Raw genomic sequence first — 12,710 nt, 5'->3', positions numbered from 1 at the left:
CGCTCTGCAAGGAACAGTTGGGGGAATTTCATGAAATAGTTAAAGAACTACTAGAAAAAGGCCATGTTTCACCCACTTTCCTTGGAATTCCCCAATATTTGTAATTAAGACAAAGTCCGGCAGATGGCGCATGCTGACTGACTTGTGAGGGGTCAAAGCTGTAATTCAACCGATGAGAGCTTTACAACCTGGGCTCCCATCCCCCACCATGATCCCTAAAGACGGGCTGCTTGTTATTATAGATTTAAAAAGACTGCTTTTTTACAATTCCTTTAGCAGAGGCAGATTTTGAAAAAATTTCCTTTACCATCCTTGCTGTTAATAACAAAGAATCTGCAGCCAGATATCCTTGGAAGGTTTTATCCCAGGATATGTTAAACAGTCACACAGTTTGTCAAACTTTTGTGGGCAGAGGTATCCAGCCTGTTAGAGATCAATTTCCAGATTGTTACATCATCCATTACATGGATGACATACTCTGTGCAGCAAAAAATAGAGAACAACTTATTCAATGTTATTCATCTTTACAAAAGGCAATTACAAACGCTGGATTGCTTATAGCACCTGACAAAATTCAAACAATGACTCCTTTTCAGTATTTGGGGATGCAAGTACAGGATAGAGCCATTAAGCCGCAAAAGGTTCAAATTAGAAAAAATTCTTTAAAAACCTTTTTGAAATAAAAATCATTTTGAAATGATTTTCAAAAATTGTTAGGAGATATTTATTGTACTTGGCCCACCTTAGGAATTGCTACTTATGCTATGTCTAATCTCTTCTCAGTATTGAGGGGAGATTCCGGCTTACACAGTAAAAGAGGACTAACACCCGAGGCCATGAAAAAGTTAAGAGTAATTGAAGAAAAAATTCAGCAAGCCCAAGTCATTAGGATTGACTCAGACTTGCCTCTACAATTCATTGTCTTCCCTACTTTGCACTCCCTAATGGTGATTATTATTCAAAATGATGATTTAGTTGAATGGTCCTTTTTGCCACATAATACCATAAAAACACTTACAGTATATTTAGATCAGATGGCAATTTTAACCGGACAGGCTGGTATATGAATTGTTAAACTTTGTGGCACTGAGCCCAATAAAATTATAGTTCCAATGAATAAAAATCAAATTAAACAGGCATTTATTAACTCAGTTACATGGCAAGTTAATTTAGCGGAATTTGTTGGATGTATTGATAATCATTATCCTAAAAATAAAACTTTCCAGTTCTTAAAATTAACTACATGGATTCTTCCAAAAATTACTCAGGATGCCCCTTTGGAAGAAGCTGTGACTACTTTTACTGATGGCTACAGTACTGGGAAAATGGCATATGTGGGACCTTGTGATAAAGTTATCCATACTAACTTTTCCTCAGCCCAAACAGCTAAATTACAGGTGGTGATTACAGTATTAGAAGATTTTAATCAGCCAGTTAATATTGTTTCAGATTCAGCTTATGTTGTGTAAGCTACTCTGCATATTAAAACTGCCTTAATTAAATATATTATTGATGAACAGCTTTATCAATTGTTCAACTCTGTACAAGCAGTTGTGCATGCCTGGGAATTTCTTTTCTATATAACTCATGTCCTAGCACATACCAATCTTCCAGGACCCTTGACTAAGGCTAATCAGCAAGCTGACTTGTTGGTTTCCCCCTCACTGACTGATGCCCCAAATTTTGACTTACCTCAGTGCCAGGCAATTACCACATCAAAGAACTGGTGTTAAGCCTCAAAGGTTGGCACCTGACAAGATCTGGCAAATGGACATCACCCACGTTCCTACATTTGGCAAACTTTCTTATGTCCATGTAACCAGAGATACATATTCTCATTTTATATGGGCTACTTGCCAAACTGGTGAGACTGCAGCACATATAAAAAGACGTTTGGTTTCCTGTTTTGCTGTCATGGGAATTCCAAAAAAATTAAAAACAGACAATGGACAGGCTACTGTAGTGGAGCATTAAACACAGTACAAGTATCCCCTATAATTCTCAAGGGCAAGTGATTGTTGAGCGAGCCAATCGAACCTTAAAAATGCAATTACATAAACAGGAGATAGGGGGAGATAGGGAATATTCCACCCCTCATATGCAATTACAATTGGCTCTTGTTACCTTAAATTTTTTGAACATCTCCCAGGATCAGGTTACTACAGCAGCTGAGCAGCATTTAACAAGACAGAAGATAAATGTTCATGAAGGAAAACCTGTGTGGTGGAAGGACTTTAAAACAAAGACCTGGGAAAGAGGGAGAGTTATAACATGGGGAAGAGGGTTTGCTTGTATTTCCCCAGGAGAAAACCAGCTTCCAGTTTGGGTACCTACAAAACATCTTAAACTCTACCATGAGCAAAATTCCAAAGAAAAGGATTTTGGAACCAAGATCTCAACCCCCAAGCACACCTTGATGGCTCAAATGAACATTTCAGCTGACCACATGAAGACAAACAAAACCCGTCAAGTGAGCCCACTGACTTGGGACACATCAAGAGGCTGACCCAGCTTGCAGAAGAAAACCTGAAGGCACAACAAAAACCACTAAACTCGAGTAACCTCATCGTGGCTATGATTGCGGTAATTGCTATGACGGTAAGTCTCCCTGTGACTACAGCAGACCAAAATTATACCTATTGGGCATATGTCCCATTCCTGCCTTTAATTAGGTCTGTCACTTTGTTGGAACCCCCAGTTGAGGTTTATGTTAATAATAGTGTTTGGATGCCTGAGCCTACAGATACTCATGGGCCCTCTCACCCAGAGGAGGAAGGAATGTTAATAAATGTGTCCATGGGTTATCAGTCCCCCCTCTTTACATAGGGCCAGCTATCGGTTGCCTAAAAGGCTATCAACAACATTGGCTAGTTAAGACTTCAGGTCATAATCAAAGACCAGTATCCTATCATTTACTTTCTGGATGGAGCCTGGCTCATTCACAGAGTTCGGTCCAACTGGAACAATTTAAGACCAGAAAAGAGAGGTGTCAACAATCTCAACAATGGTCAAAGGATTTAGAAATATTGATTTGGAAAGATTGCATTGCTGATCATGGTGTGCTACTGCAAAATAATTCCTATGGAATCATCATTGATTGGTCCCCTAAGAGGACTTTTGCAGTTAATTGTACCAATCAGAATGATAGATGAAAGACAAAACTAAAACAGGATCTATACTATCAAAGAGATGACACTACTTACACTGAAAAGTGTGCTCATTTTCCCATAATTTGGACCAATTTTGGTACAGCCGGACCACATCCAAAAATAATTAATCCAATAATAGGCCCTGAACACCCTGAACTATGGAAGTTAATGATGGCCCAATCTCATATTCGAGTTTGGAAGGAAAATACTATCTTGATGGAGAAGGTGAGACACTTCAATTTGTGTATCAGTTTTCTTCCAACAGAACAGTATCCATTCAGAGTTGTGTCAAGCCTCCTTTCATGTTGATGGTCAGAAATATTCATATATGACCTAATTCTAAAATTATTAAATGTCAAAACTGTTGCCTTTTCACCCGTATTGATTCCACGTTTTGTGTGAAAACATCTGTGTTGCTGGTAAGGGCCAGAGAAGGAGTTTGGATACCAGTTTCCCTCAATAGACCATGGGAAGCCTCTCCTTACATTCATATCATCACAGAAATGTTAAGGGGAGTGCTGCTGGAATTGCTTTACATTCCTCTGTTCAAACTGCAGAATATGTAAATAATTGGCAAAATAATTCCTCAAAATTGTGGAATTCTCAGACTCAAACAGACCAAAGAAAATTGGCAAATCAATGATCTTAGACAGACTGTTAATATGGATGGGAGATTGTATAATGAGCTTAGAGCATCTATTGCAAATGTAATGTGATTGGAAATACTTCTGATTTCTGCGTAAATCCCCATTCACATAATGCTACTGAACATCATTGGGAAAAAGTTAGACATCATCTGGAAGGAAGGGATGGAAATTTAACATTGGATATAGCCAAATGAAAGGAACACATTTTTGAAGCATCTCAGGCGCATTTCACTCTCCTGCCTGGAATTGACATCCTAGCTGGAGCTGCTGATGGACTTTCAAATGTGAATCCTCTTAAATGGACCGTTGGAGGATCAACTATTGCAAATTTTACTTTAATGTGTATCGGTTTATGCTGTTTGCTTTTAGTCTGCAGATGGGGAAGATGCCTCTGGAGAGAGACCAGACACCATGAACAAGCCATGATAGCAACGGTGGTTTTAAAAAAGAAAAAATGGGTGGTGTTGAGGCTGGTCCCCAACAAAAACTATATCACTACTATTAATATAATTCAGAACAAAAACAATGCCATCATCTCAATTGATGCAAAAAAAGCATTAGGAACAATTCAACACCATTTCCAGATTAATACACGTAACAAACTAGGATAGAAGAAAACCTTACGACACTGATTTTGGAAAGGATTTACTGGATATAATACCAAAAGCACACGCAAGAAAAGCAAAACACTAAAGGATCTACATCCAACTTAAAGTTTTTGCACTTCAAAGGAATCGATCAAAAGAAGGAAAAGGCAAACCTACGGAATGGGAGAAGAGTTGCAAATCACATATCTGATAGGCATTAATAGATTATCAAGTAACTTCTACAACTCAACACCAAAAATAAATAACCCAATTAATGAATGGGCAAAGGAACTGAACAGATGTTATTCTAAAGAAGATGACAATATGGCCAACAAGCACATGATAAGATGCTCATCACCACCAAACATAACACAAATGCCAATCAACATTACAATGAGGTATCACCTCACACCCATTAGGATGGCCATCATCAATAAAAAAAAAAAAAGTGTTGGAGAGGATGCTGAGAAACTGGAACATTTGTGGACAGTTGGTGAGAATGTAAAATGGTATACCCATTACTGAGGTCAGTAAGGGGGTTCCTCAAAATATTAAAAACAGTACTACCATATAATCCAGCAATCCCACTTCTGGGCATGGGTGTGTGTAGATATTTTATACATCTATATACATACACACACGTATATATATTTGTGTGTGTATATACACACACACGTACATATTTGAAAATATACATCTGGCCAGGCACGGTGGCTATGCCTGTAATCCCAGCACTTTGGGAAGCTGAGGTGGGTGGATCACGAGGTCAACAGATTGAGACCATCCTGGCCAACATGGTGAAACCCCGTCTCTAATAAAAATACAAAATTAGCTGGGCATGGTGGCACGCACCTGTAGTACTTGGAAGGCTGAGGCAGGAGAATCACTTGAACCTAGGAGGCAGAGGTTGCAGTGAGCCAAGATCGCACCACTGCACTCCAGCCTGGTGACAGAGTAAGACTCCATCTCAAAAAAAAAAAAAAAAAAAAAAAATATATATATATATATATACACACACACACACACACACACACACACACACACACACATATCTACATATACACACTCATACCCAGAAGTGAGACTGCTGGATCATATGGTAGTATATATATGTGTGTGTGTGTGTGTGTGTGTGTGTGTGTGTGTGTGTACATACACATTAAAGACTTGAAAGCAGGCCCTCAAAGAGATATTTGCAAATCCCTGCTCATCACAGCATTATATACAATAGCCAAGAAGACAGAAAAACCAACATGCCTATCTACAGATGAATGGATAAAGAAAATGTGTTATACACATGCAATGGAATATTATTCAGCTTTATAAAAGGAGAAAATCCTGTCATATGCTACAACACGGATGAACCTTGAGGACATTACACTAGGGAAAATAAGACAGTCACAAAAGGACAAATACTATGTGATTCCACTCACGTGGGATACTAAAGTAGTCAAATGCATATAAACAACATAGAAAGATGGGTTGACAGAGGCTATAGTGAGGTCAGAAGGGATATAGTGTATTCTGGGTATACAGTTTCAGTTTTGCGAGATGAAAAACTTCTAGATATGTTGCACAGTAACGTGAACATACTTAACATTACTGAACTATAAACAGGCAAATAAACTTTACTAAAAGACATAACAAAGAGCATCATGGACCGGAAAACCCAATTCTTATTAGCAGATGTGGTGACACAAAGACCTCTCTGACTAGGAATCCACAGCCATTCAAACACAAAAGAAATATATGAGTTTTTAATGACTGTGCCCTGTGAAAGGAGAACCATCACAATTTTGAAAAGAAAAACAAAATGGAGGGGTTTTCCAAATATGTAAGAACCTCTTATGACAAACATCTGTAATTTTACAACAAATCAAATACTTATGATATACGCAAAAATTCAAATTAAACACAAATGTAAACAAAATTTTAAACAACAAAACTTTATTCCTAAATGAAACTTAGTACTTCATAATCATGCAAGGCCTTCCAAATCAAGATGAAACAAACAAAGGCACAACAAAAATCAGAAGGTATAAATGAAAGATTTGTCTTACAATTAAAAAATGTATAACCTGAAATAAAAGACATCAGGGCATATGAAAGAAATAAAAACCACAGAAATTAAAACACATACTAAAATACATGGAAAGAAAATTGAGCAAAGCATGAAAATTCATTTTGTATATACATGTCCCCAAAATAATAAAACCTATGTAGACAATAAATTGAAAAATGAAAATACAGAGGGTTGTCATTTTTCCCAGATTTTCAAAATATATATATATATAAACATAGTAGCAAGTTGTTGTTTTTTTTTTAATGAGGGCAAAATTTCACATGTTCTTGATAGGAGAGGTACCCCTGCAGCTGGGGATAACAGGGGAACCTTGAGAGATCTAAGAAAATAGGAAATGCCCCATCCTAGAAGAAGTATTACCCAAGTCTTACCATTTTCACCTGAAACATCTGTTTCACAAGAGTCTCTGCAGGAATACCACAATCTCCATAGGATGGATGTACTTAGAATGGTTTAAAGAATCTCTTGCTGTTAAACATTTACTACAAATGGAGTATAAAATCAGGCAGAAAAGATTTCCTCTTCCTAATCTCTTCTTCCAAATTTTATCAGGCAGTTGTGCACATTAAGACTTCCACGAGCAGCTTCCATAATCCAGTCTACAGAGCTGGCAGTGCCTCCAGACCTGGCCCTTAAACAATCCTTCAATTCCTGCTGCCCAAGAGCAGTGACACCATGGGGCCCACACCCCGTCTCCATCCATGTCTGGGTATAAGCCCTTCCCAATGGAGCCTCTTCACAAATTCCACAGCACCAGTCACTGTGAGATGGAATTTAAGTGACATCAGAGGGCCTGAGGGAAGACATGGGTGAGTGTGAGCAAACATCACAGGCAGCATGCTTCAGACTCAGAGAAGACTGACATCTCCAATGCCTGATGTGTACAGGGAAAAGCTCTCCTCAAATTGTGCTTTTCCTCTACTCTCACACCACAACAATCATCAACATAGAAGACCTCTGTGACTAAATGTATGTGGGTACTTTCCCCACACACCAAGCAGCAGACACTAGCTGGGTATCTTCCAGTTTAATTCCAACACTATCTACTGTGTACATTAAGACTGGAGACGTCAGATCCCACGAGTTGATGGCTCAGTCTCCAAGATTGCCTCCATACACACCAGTCGCAAGTCCAGGCCTTCAGAACTTATGACCACCCAGCTTCAAACTGGGGTTCACACGACCCCCTCTTCAATTAATTTGCTAGATTGGCTCACAGAACTCAGGGAAGCACTTACTTACCTTTACCAGTTTATTATAAAGGATACTGCAAAGGATACAGACGAAGAGGCACCTACAGCAAGGTATGGAGGAAGGAGTGCAGGGCTTCCATGACGCCCCTGGGCTTACTACCTCCAAGAACCTCCACGTGTTCAGCCATCCAGAAGCTCATCGAACTTTGCCCTTTTGGGTTTTTATGGAAGTTTCATGACATCAACATTCTTCCCCCCAGGGTACAGGGTGGGAAGCTCTCGGAGGAGGGTCTTAAGACCCACAATTAGAAAGGCTGGGGAGCATCAGAGTGAAAGGAAGGCAAAAGAAGGTCAGAGGCCTACCCCTGAGGCTTAACACATCCAACATTACAACAAAAGATTGTAACAAGGGCTATGGAGGTTATAAGCCAGGAACCGTCGATGGAAACCAATATATATCATAACACCACACATGGCATTTCAGAAAGGAAGGAGACACACAACAGTCCACTGAGAATATCACTGTACCTAAGAGGCATTCCTGACTCCTTTTCTTTCCTCTTCCTCCTCTTCTAGGCTTCTTCCTTAGGAGAGATGAAAGAGACTTTAGAAGCTAATCCTGAAAGAAAAAGAAAAAGAAAACTTTTTAAAAAACAAGTTAATCCTGAGTGTTCAAAATATGCTGTTTACTGCTCAAAATCAACACACCCCCTCCCTGTGCCACAACCACATACACAGGAAAGACCTCGCCCTGTGGAAAGATGGCCCTCTGCTGCCCACAGCACCAGGGATGATGCAGACAAGAAAGTCCTACAGGAAGAACAAGTCAGTTTTTGAGTTCTTCAAAGCTTACTCCCCACCTGGAGAAGCCCACATACATGCTGCAGCTGTGGGGTGCTGGGCTGGACTGAGCTCCCCTTCAGGGCACAGATCTGGCCCTGACCAAACCCCATGCAGAGCACAGCCTCTCCCCTCTCTGTGGATCACAGGCCGATATCAGCTTTCAGAAATGGAAGACACAGCACCCTGATGTTCAATGATGAATACAGATTAGAATCATGTGGGACACTGCGCTTGAACCTACATGCATGGGAATCTCTGGAAAGGAGGCACAAGAGATATATTTGCAAAATGTCTCAGCATTCTAATGCGAATCCAGGGTTGAGCTAAACTCAGAGGGAGCAAGCCCAGAACAACCCCTATCTTCTGGCTCTGGTCTCCCCTTGGGTCCTTGTTGTCACCAGGATCCAGACAGTGGACAGCAAAAGAGCAGAAAGAAACATCTAGGGGAGGCAATATGGGCCAGAGCAGGTGAGGTTGTGACAGGGGAAGGGTCACATAAACCTTCACTGAGAAGGTGATATCAGAACCCAGGCCTAGAAAAGGAAGGATGTTTGTCACCTGCAACTGAGGGGCTAAAGAGTCCTAGGCAGAGGGACAGCCCAGGTGAAGGTCCTGAGACAGGAGCAACCTCAGCTCCAGGAAAAGGAATGAGATCTGTGTAGCTACAGCAGAGGGAGCAAGGCCGACACAGGTAGCGGATGAGGTCAGAGAGGTCCTGGGGGTGCAGATCAGATAGGGTGGAGGCCTTTAAACATTTTTCTCCCTCAACTCAAAAGAATTTTGGAAATGCTAGTTCCTCACCCATTTTAAGCAATCATGTAATTTTTTCTTTATATTATTCCCTAAAACATTTTCAAACAAGGAACTATGTCCTAGATTTTAAATATATGCCAATATGTTCACCTAAGCTCCCAGAAGTATGGGGTCACCCTTATCTGAGATGGGTAGGACTGCAAGGGAGCATACATCGGAGAACTCAGGAAGTCACTAGTGGACACGTAAATATGGAGATGCCTGTTGGATGTCCCAGAAGAAAGTTGAGGAGACAACTGGACACAGAATTCTAGAAATTAGGAGAGAGGTCTATGAGGGATGGAGACATAAAGGTAGGGTTTAAAACCATGAGATGAAATGATAAAGAAAGGCAGTGGCTGGGCGTGGTGGCTCACGCCTGTAATCCCAGCACTTTGGGAGGCCGAGGTGGGTGGATCACGAGGTCACGAGTTCAAGACCAGCCTGACCAACATGGAGAATCCATCTCTACTAAAAACACAAAAGTAGCTGGGTGTGGTAGCACATGCCTATAATCCCAGCTACTCGGGAGGTTGAGGCAGGAGAATCGTTTGAACCTGGCAGGCAGAGGTTGCGGTGAGCCAAGATCACACCATTGCAATCCAGCCTGGACAACAAGAGCAAAACTCCATCTCAAAAAAAAAAAAAAAAAAAAAAAGATAGAAAGGCAGTAGACGTGGACAGAGAGGAAAAGTGGTTGGAGGACTAAGCTGTGGGTCATTCCCACATTCAGAAAACAGTGAGTCAGGACACATCAGCAGAGAAAAACGGTAAGAGATGAAGATGACATCAAGAAAATTAAAACAAAGAGCAGGGACAGATCCTTCCCAGTCAATACTGAGTAGAAAGCACGGGGCTTGAGACAGGTAAGTGAGCCTGTTACAAATATCTTCCCTTCACTGAGACAGGAAAAAACCAAACTGTTTTCATTGCTCTCGTGCTCAACACAGGATACTTTACTTCTGGTCAAGAAAATGTGTGGTTTCCCTACACTGACCAGTTCCTTGCAGACTTCCACCTGGGAATCCTAAAATTTAACTCAATTCTTACACTATCTACAAGGAGATAGTGTCAGATCCCATGGGTGAAAAGCTCAGTCCCACAAGACTACCCTTCACCTTAGAAGCTGTACACAAGTAGTAGTTTTCACCTCTACTTCTGACTGACCAGATAAACACCACGGTTCCCAAATCCTCTCCTGCATTCAACTAATTTTCTAGAACTGCTATTCCATCTGTCTATCTGCAACCTTTGTAATATCCTTTAAAACAAATGAGTAAACCCAACTAAAACGTTTCTGAGTTCTGTGAGCTACTCTGGCAAATTAATAAATACTGAAGACTGGGTCATGGGAATCCTCAATTTATATCCAGTAGCTTAGAAGTTCAGGTTCCAATCTGGGACTTGTAACCGACATCTGAAGTGGAGAAGTCTTGTGGACTGAGCCTTTAATCTGTGGGATCCGATGCTTACACCAGGTACAGCTGTCAGAAGTGAGGTAAATTATGGGACACCGAGTTGATGTCTGATAGAGAACTGCTTGTTAGTGGGGAGAAATCCCCACACATTCGGTGACCACAAGTGAAGTATTCTGGGTTCAGTGTTTACTACCGTGTTGAGTTTCAGAGGAGGAAAGAATAAATCAATCGTTTTTCCTCTGGAAGAGCACATTTTCCAGCGGGTGCAATTTGGAACGGAAAAACACTGAGTGTCAAAAGCCAGGCCCCGTCACCTCCCTCAATGCGGGGTAAGGAATGTGGGTTGTGAAGGGGAAACCTGGGGAACACAAGGGCCCAGCCCAAGGAGGACAAGGTTGGGGGTGGATTAGGAGAGGGGTGGGGTTTCCAAAATCCCAGGGCCGGGCAGAGGACACGGCGCTGATGCATCGAGACTGCGGGACCGAGCTCCAAGAGGCCAGAAGGGCGAGGCTTGGAGGACCCACTGGGCGTGAATACACCTCATGGGTGAGGGCTTTTACATGACGCGGGACCGAAGGAGTGGTCAGTAAAGGGTTTTAAGCAGGTAAACGGGACGAAAAGCGTCTACGTGGCCCGAAGGCAGAGAGCTCAGGGAAAGGACCAGCAGCCTCCAAGCGATTTTAACCTCCGAATTTCTTGGCGACGTATTAATATACCTAGGATGGAGGGAACGGCGGGAGGATTTTAAGATCCGTAAGAACCCCTCCGCCAACACCAGGTACAGAAGCGCTGGAAGCGGATCTAATCTAGACAAAGGGAAACTCACCCGCTGCTCCAAGACCGGCTCCCCACGCGATCGGCTTCCGGGTCTTCAGGAAACTGCGCTTGCGAGTTCACGCCCCATGATTCACTTCCGGGTTTCCAGGAAACCGCGCGCAGCTGAGGCCAGGGATGGGCGAGACCCGAGAGAAGAGAGGGTGGGGCGGTGAGGGGCGGGGTCTGCGCTGCCTTCGGCCTGTCTCTGGGCGCGTCTGTTCTCCAGGTTTTTGAGGAAAGACCCTATCGGTGACCAGCAGCCAAGCAGTCTGGGACCTGGGATCTCTATGAGAGGGTCAAAGTAGGGGACAGTGATTGGACCTAAGATAGTTCCTGCAATTAAAGTTAATTTTAGTATTTTAATTTAAAAGCCCTGGAATTGTCTGGGAGAGGAAGCGAACTAGAATATGAAATGCAAAGCCCTGCCTGGGCGGAACATGCAATTTGATGCTGTCGTCCCACAGAACAGAGTAGAAATCCTCTCCTTTTCTATTCCCCCTACACTCTGGAGGGTGAGGATCAACCCTGTGCTCAGCTCCTGACAATTTCCCAGGGACAACGCCTTGGGCATGGAGGGTTAACGCCAGGGATAAGTTAGGTCACCAAATGTTGCTTTTAAAAAGGAAAGCTAAAACTTTTAGATGATAGATATAAATGACTCTTAAACTTTTAAACAATAGATATAAATAGCTCTCCCTTATACCTGTTACTCTATTCCAAACTTCAGATGAATTAACCTCAAACGTCTCTGCGATAAACTTTATTGACATCATAATGTCAATAATTTCGATACGTAGAGTGAATTTCAAATTTACACGCACTCTGAATGTAAATAGAAAAGACGATTTTTGGCTGGGTGTGTTGGCTCATGTTTCTAATCCTAGCACTTTGGGAGGCTGAGATGGGAGGATCACTTGAGGCTAAATGTTCAAGACTAGCCTGGGCAACAGAGTGAGTCCCAGTCTCTCTTATAAAACACACAGGGCCAGGCACGTTGGCTCACGCCTGTAATCCCAGCACTTTGCGAGGCCGAGGCGGGCGGATCACCTGAGGTTGGGAGTTGGAGACCAGCCTGACCAACATGGAGAAATCCTGTGTCTTCTAAAAATACAAAATTAGCCGGGCGTGGTGGCGCATGCCTGTAATCCCAGTTACTCGGGAGGCTGAGGCAGGAGAATTGCT

General features: G+C 42.1%; 1 protein-coding gene across 4 annotated transcripts in view, besides 1 other annotated feature; it reads right to left on the bottom strand.

The window, feature by feature from the left end:
• ZNF578 (zinc finger protein 578) overlaps positions 1-11,593 on the bottom strand; it is a 63,330-nt gene extending 51,737 nt beyond the window's left edge. For 3 of the 4 annotated variants that reach the window (NM_001099694.2, XM_047438189.1, XM_047438194.1), the window contains exons 1-2: positions 11,539-11,593; positions 8,188-8,278 (exon numbers count right to left, since the gene is read on the bottom strand). The gene's annotated coding sequence lies outside the window, so the exon portion shown is untranslated. Of the gene's footprint in view, positions 1-8,187; positions 8,279-8,409; positions 8,470-11,538 lie in introns of all 4 variants that reach the window. The other variant, NM_001366182.2, reaches the window with a different exon arrangement.
• Positions 10,952-12,151: an enhancer, noted in NCBI's record as "CDK7 strongly-dependent group 2 enhancer chr19:52956248-52957447 (GRCh37/hg19 assembly coordinates)". NCBI's record gives its function as "activates an origin of replication core promoter dependent on BRD2, BRD4, P300/CBP, MED14 and CDK7 cofactors, with strong dependence on CDK7, by STARR-seq in HCT116 cells {active_cell/tissue: HCT116}" and the evidence as "EXISTENCE:reporter gene assay evidence [ECO:0000049][PMID:35650434]".

This window comes from Homo sapiens, chromosome 19 (genome assembly GCF_000001405.40).
Source record: "Homo sapiens chromosome 19, GRCh38.p14 Primary Assembly".
NCBI lineage: Eukaryota > Metazoa > Chordata > Mammalia > Primates > Hominidae > Homo > Homo sapiens.
Note: the sequence above shows the minus strand (reverse complement) of the source record. Positions and strands in the feature narration are given on the sequence as shown.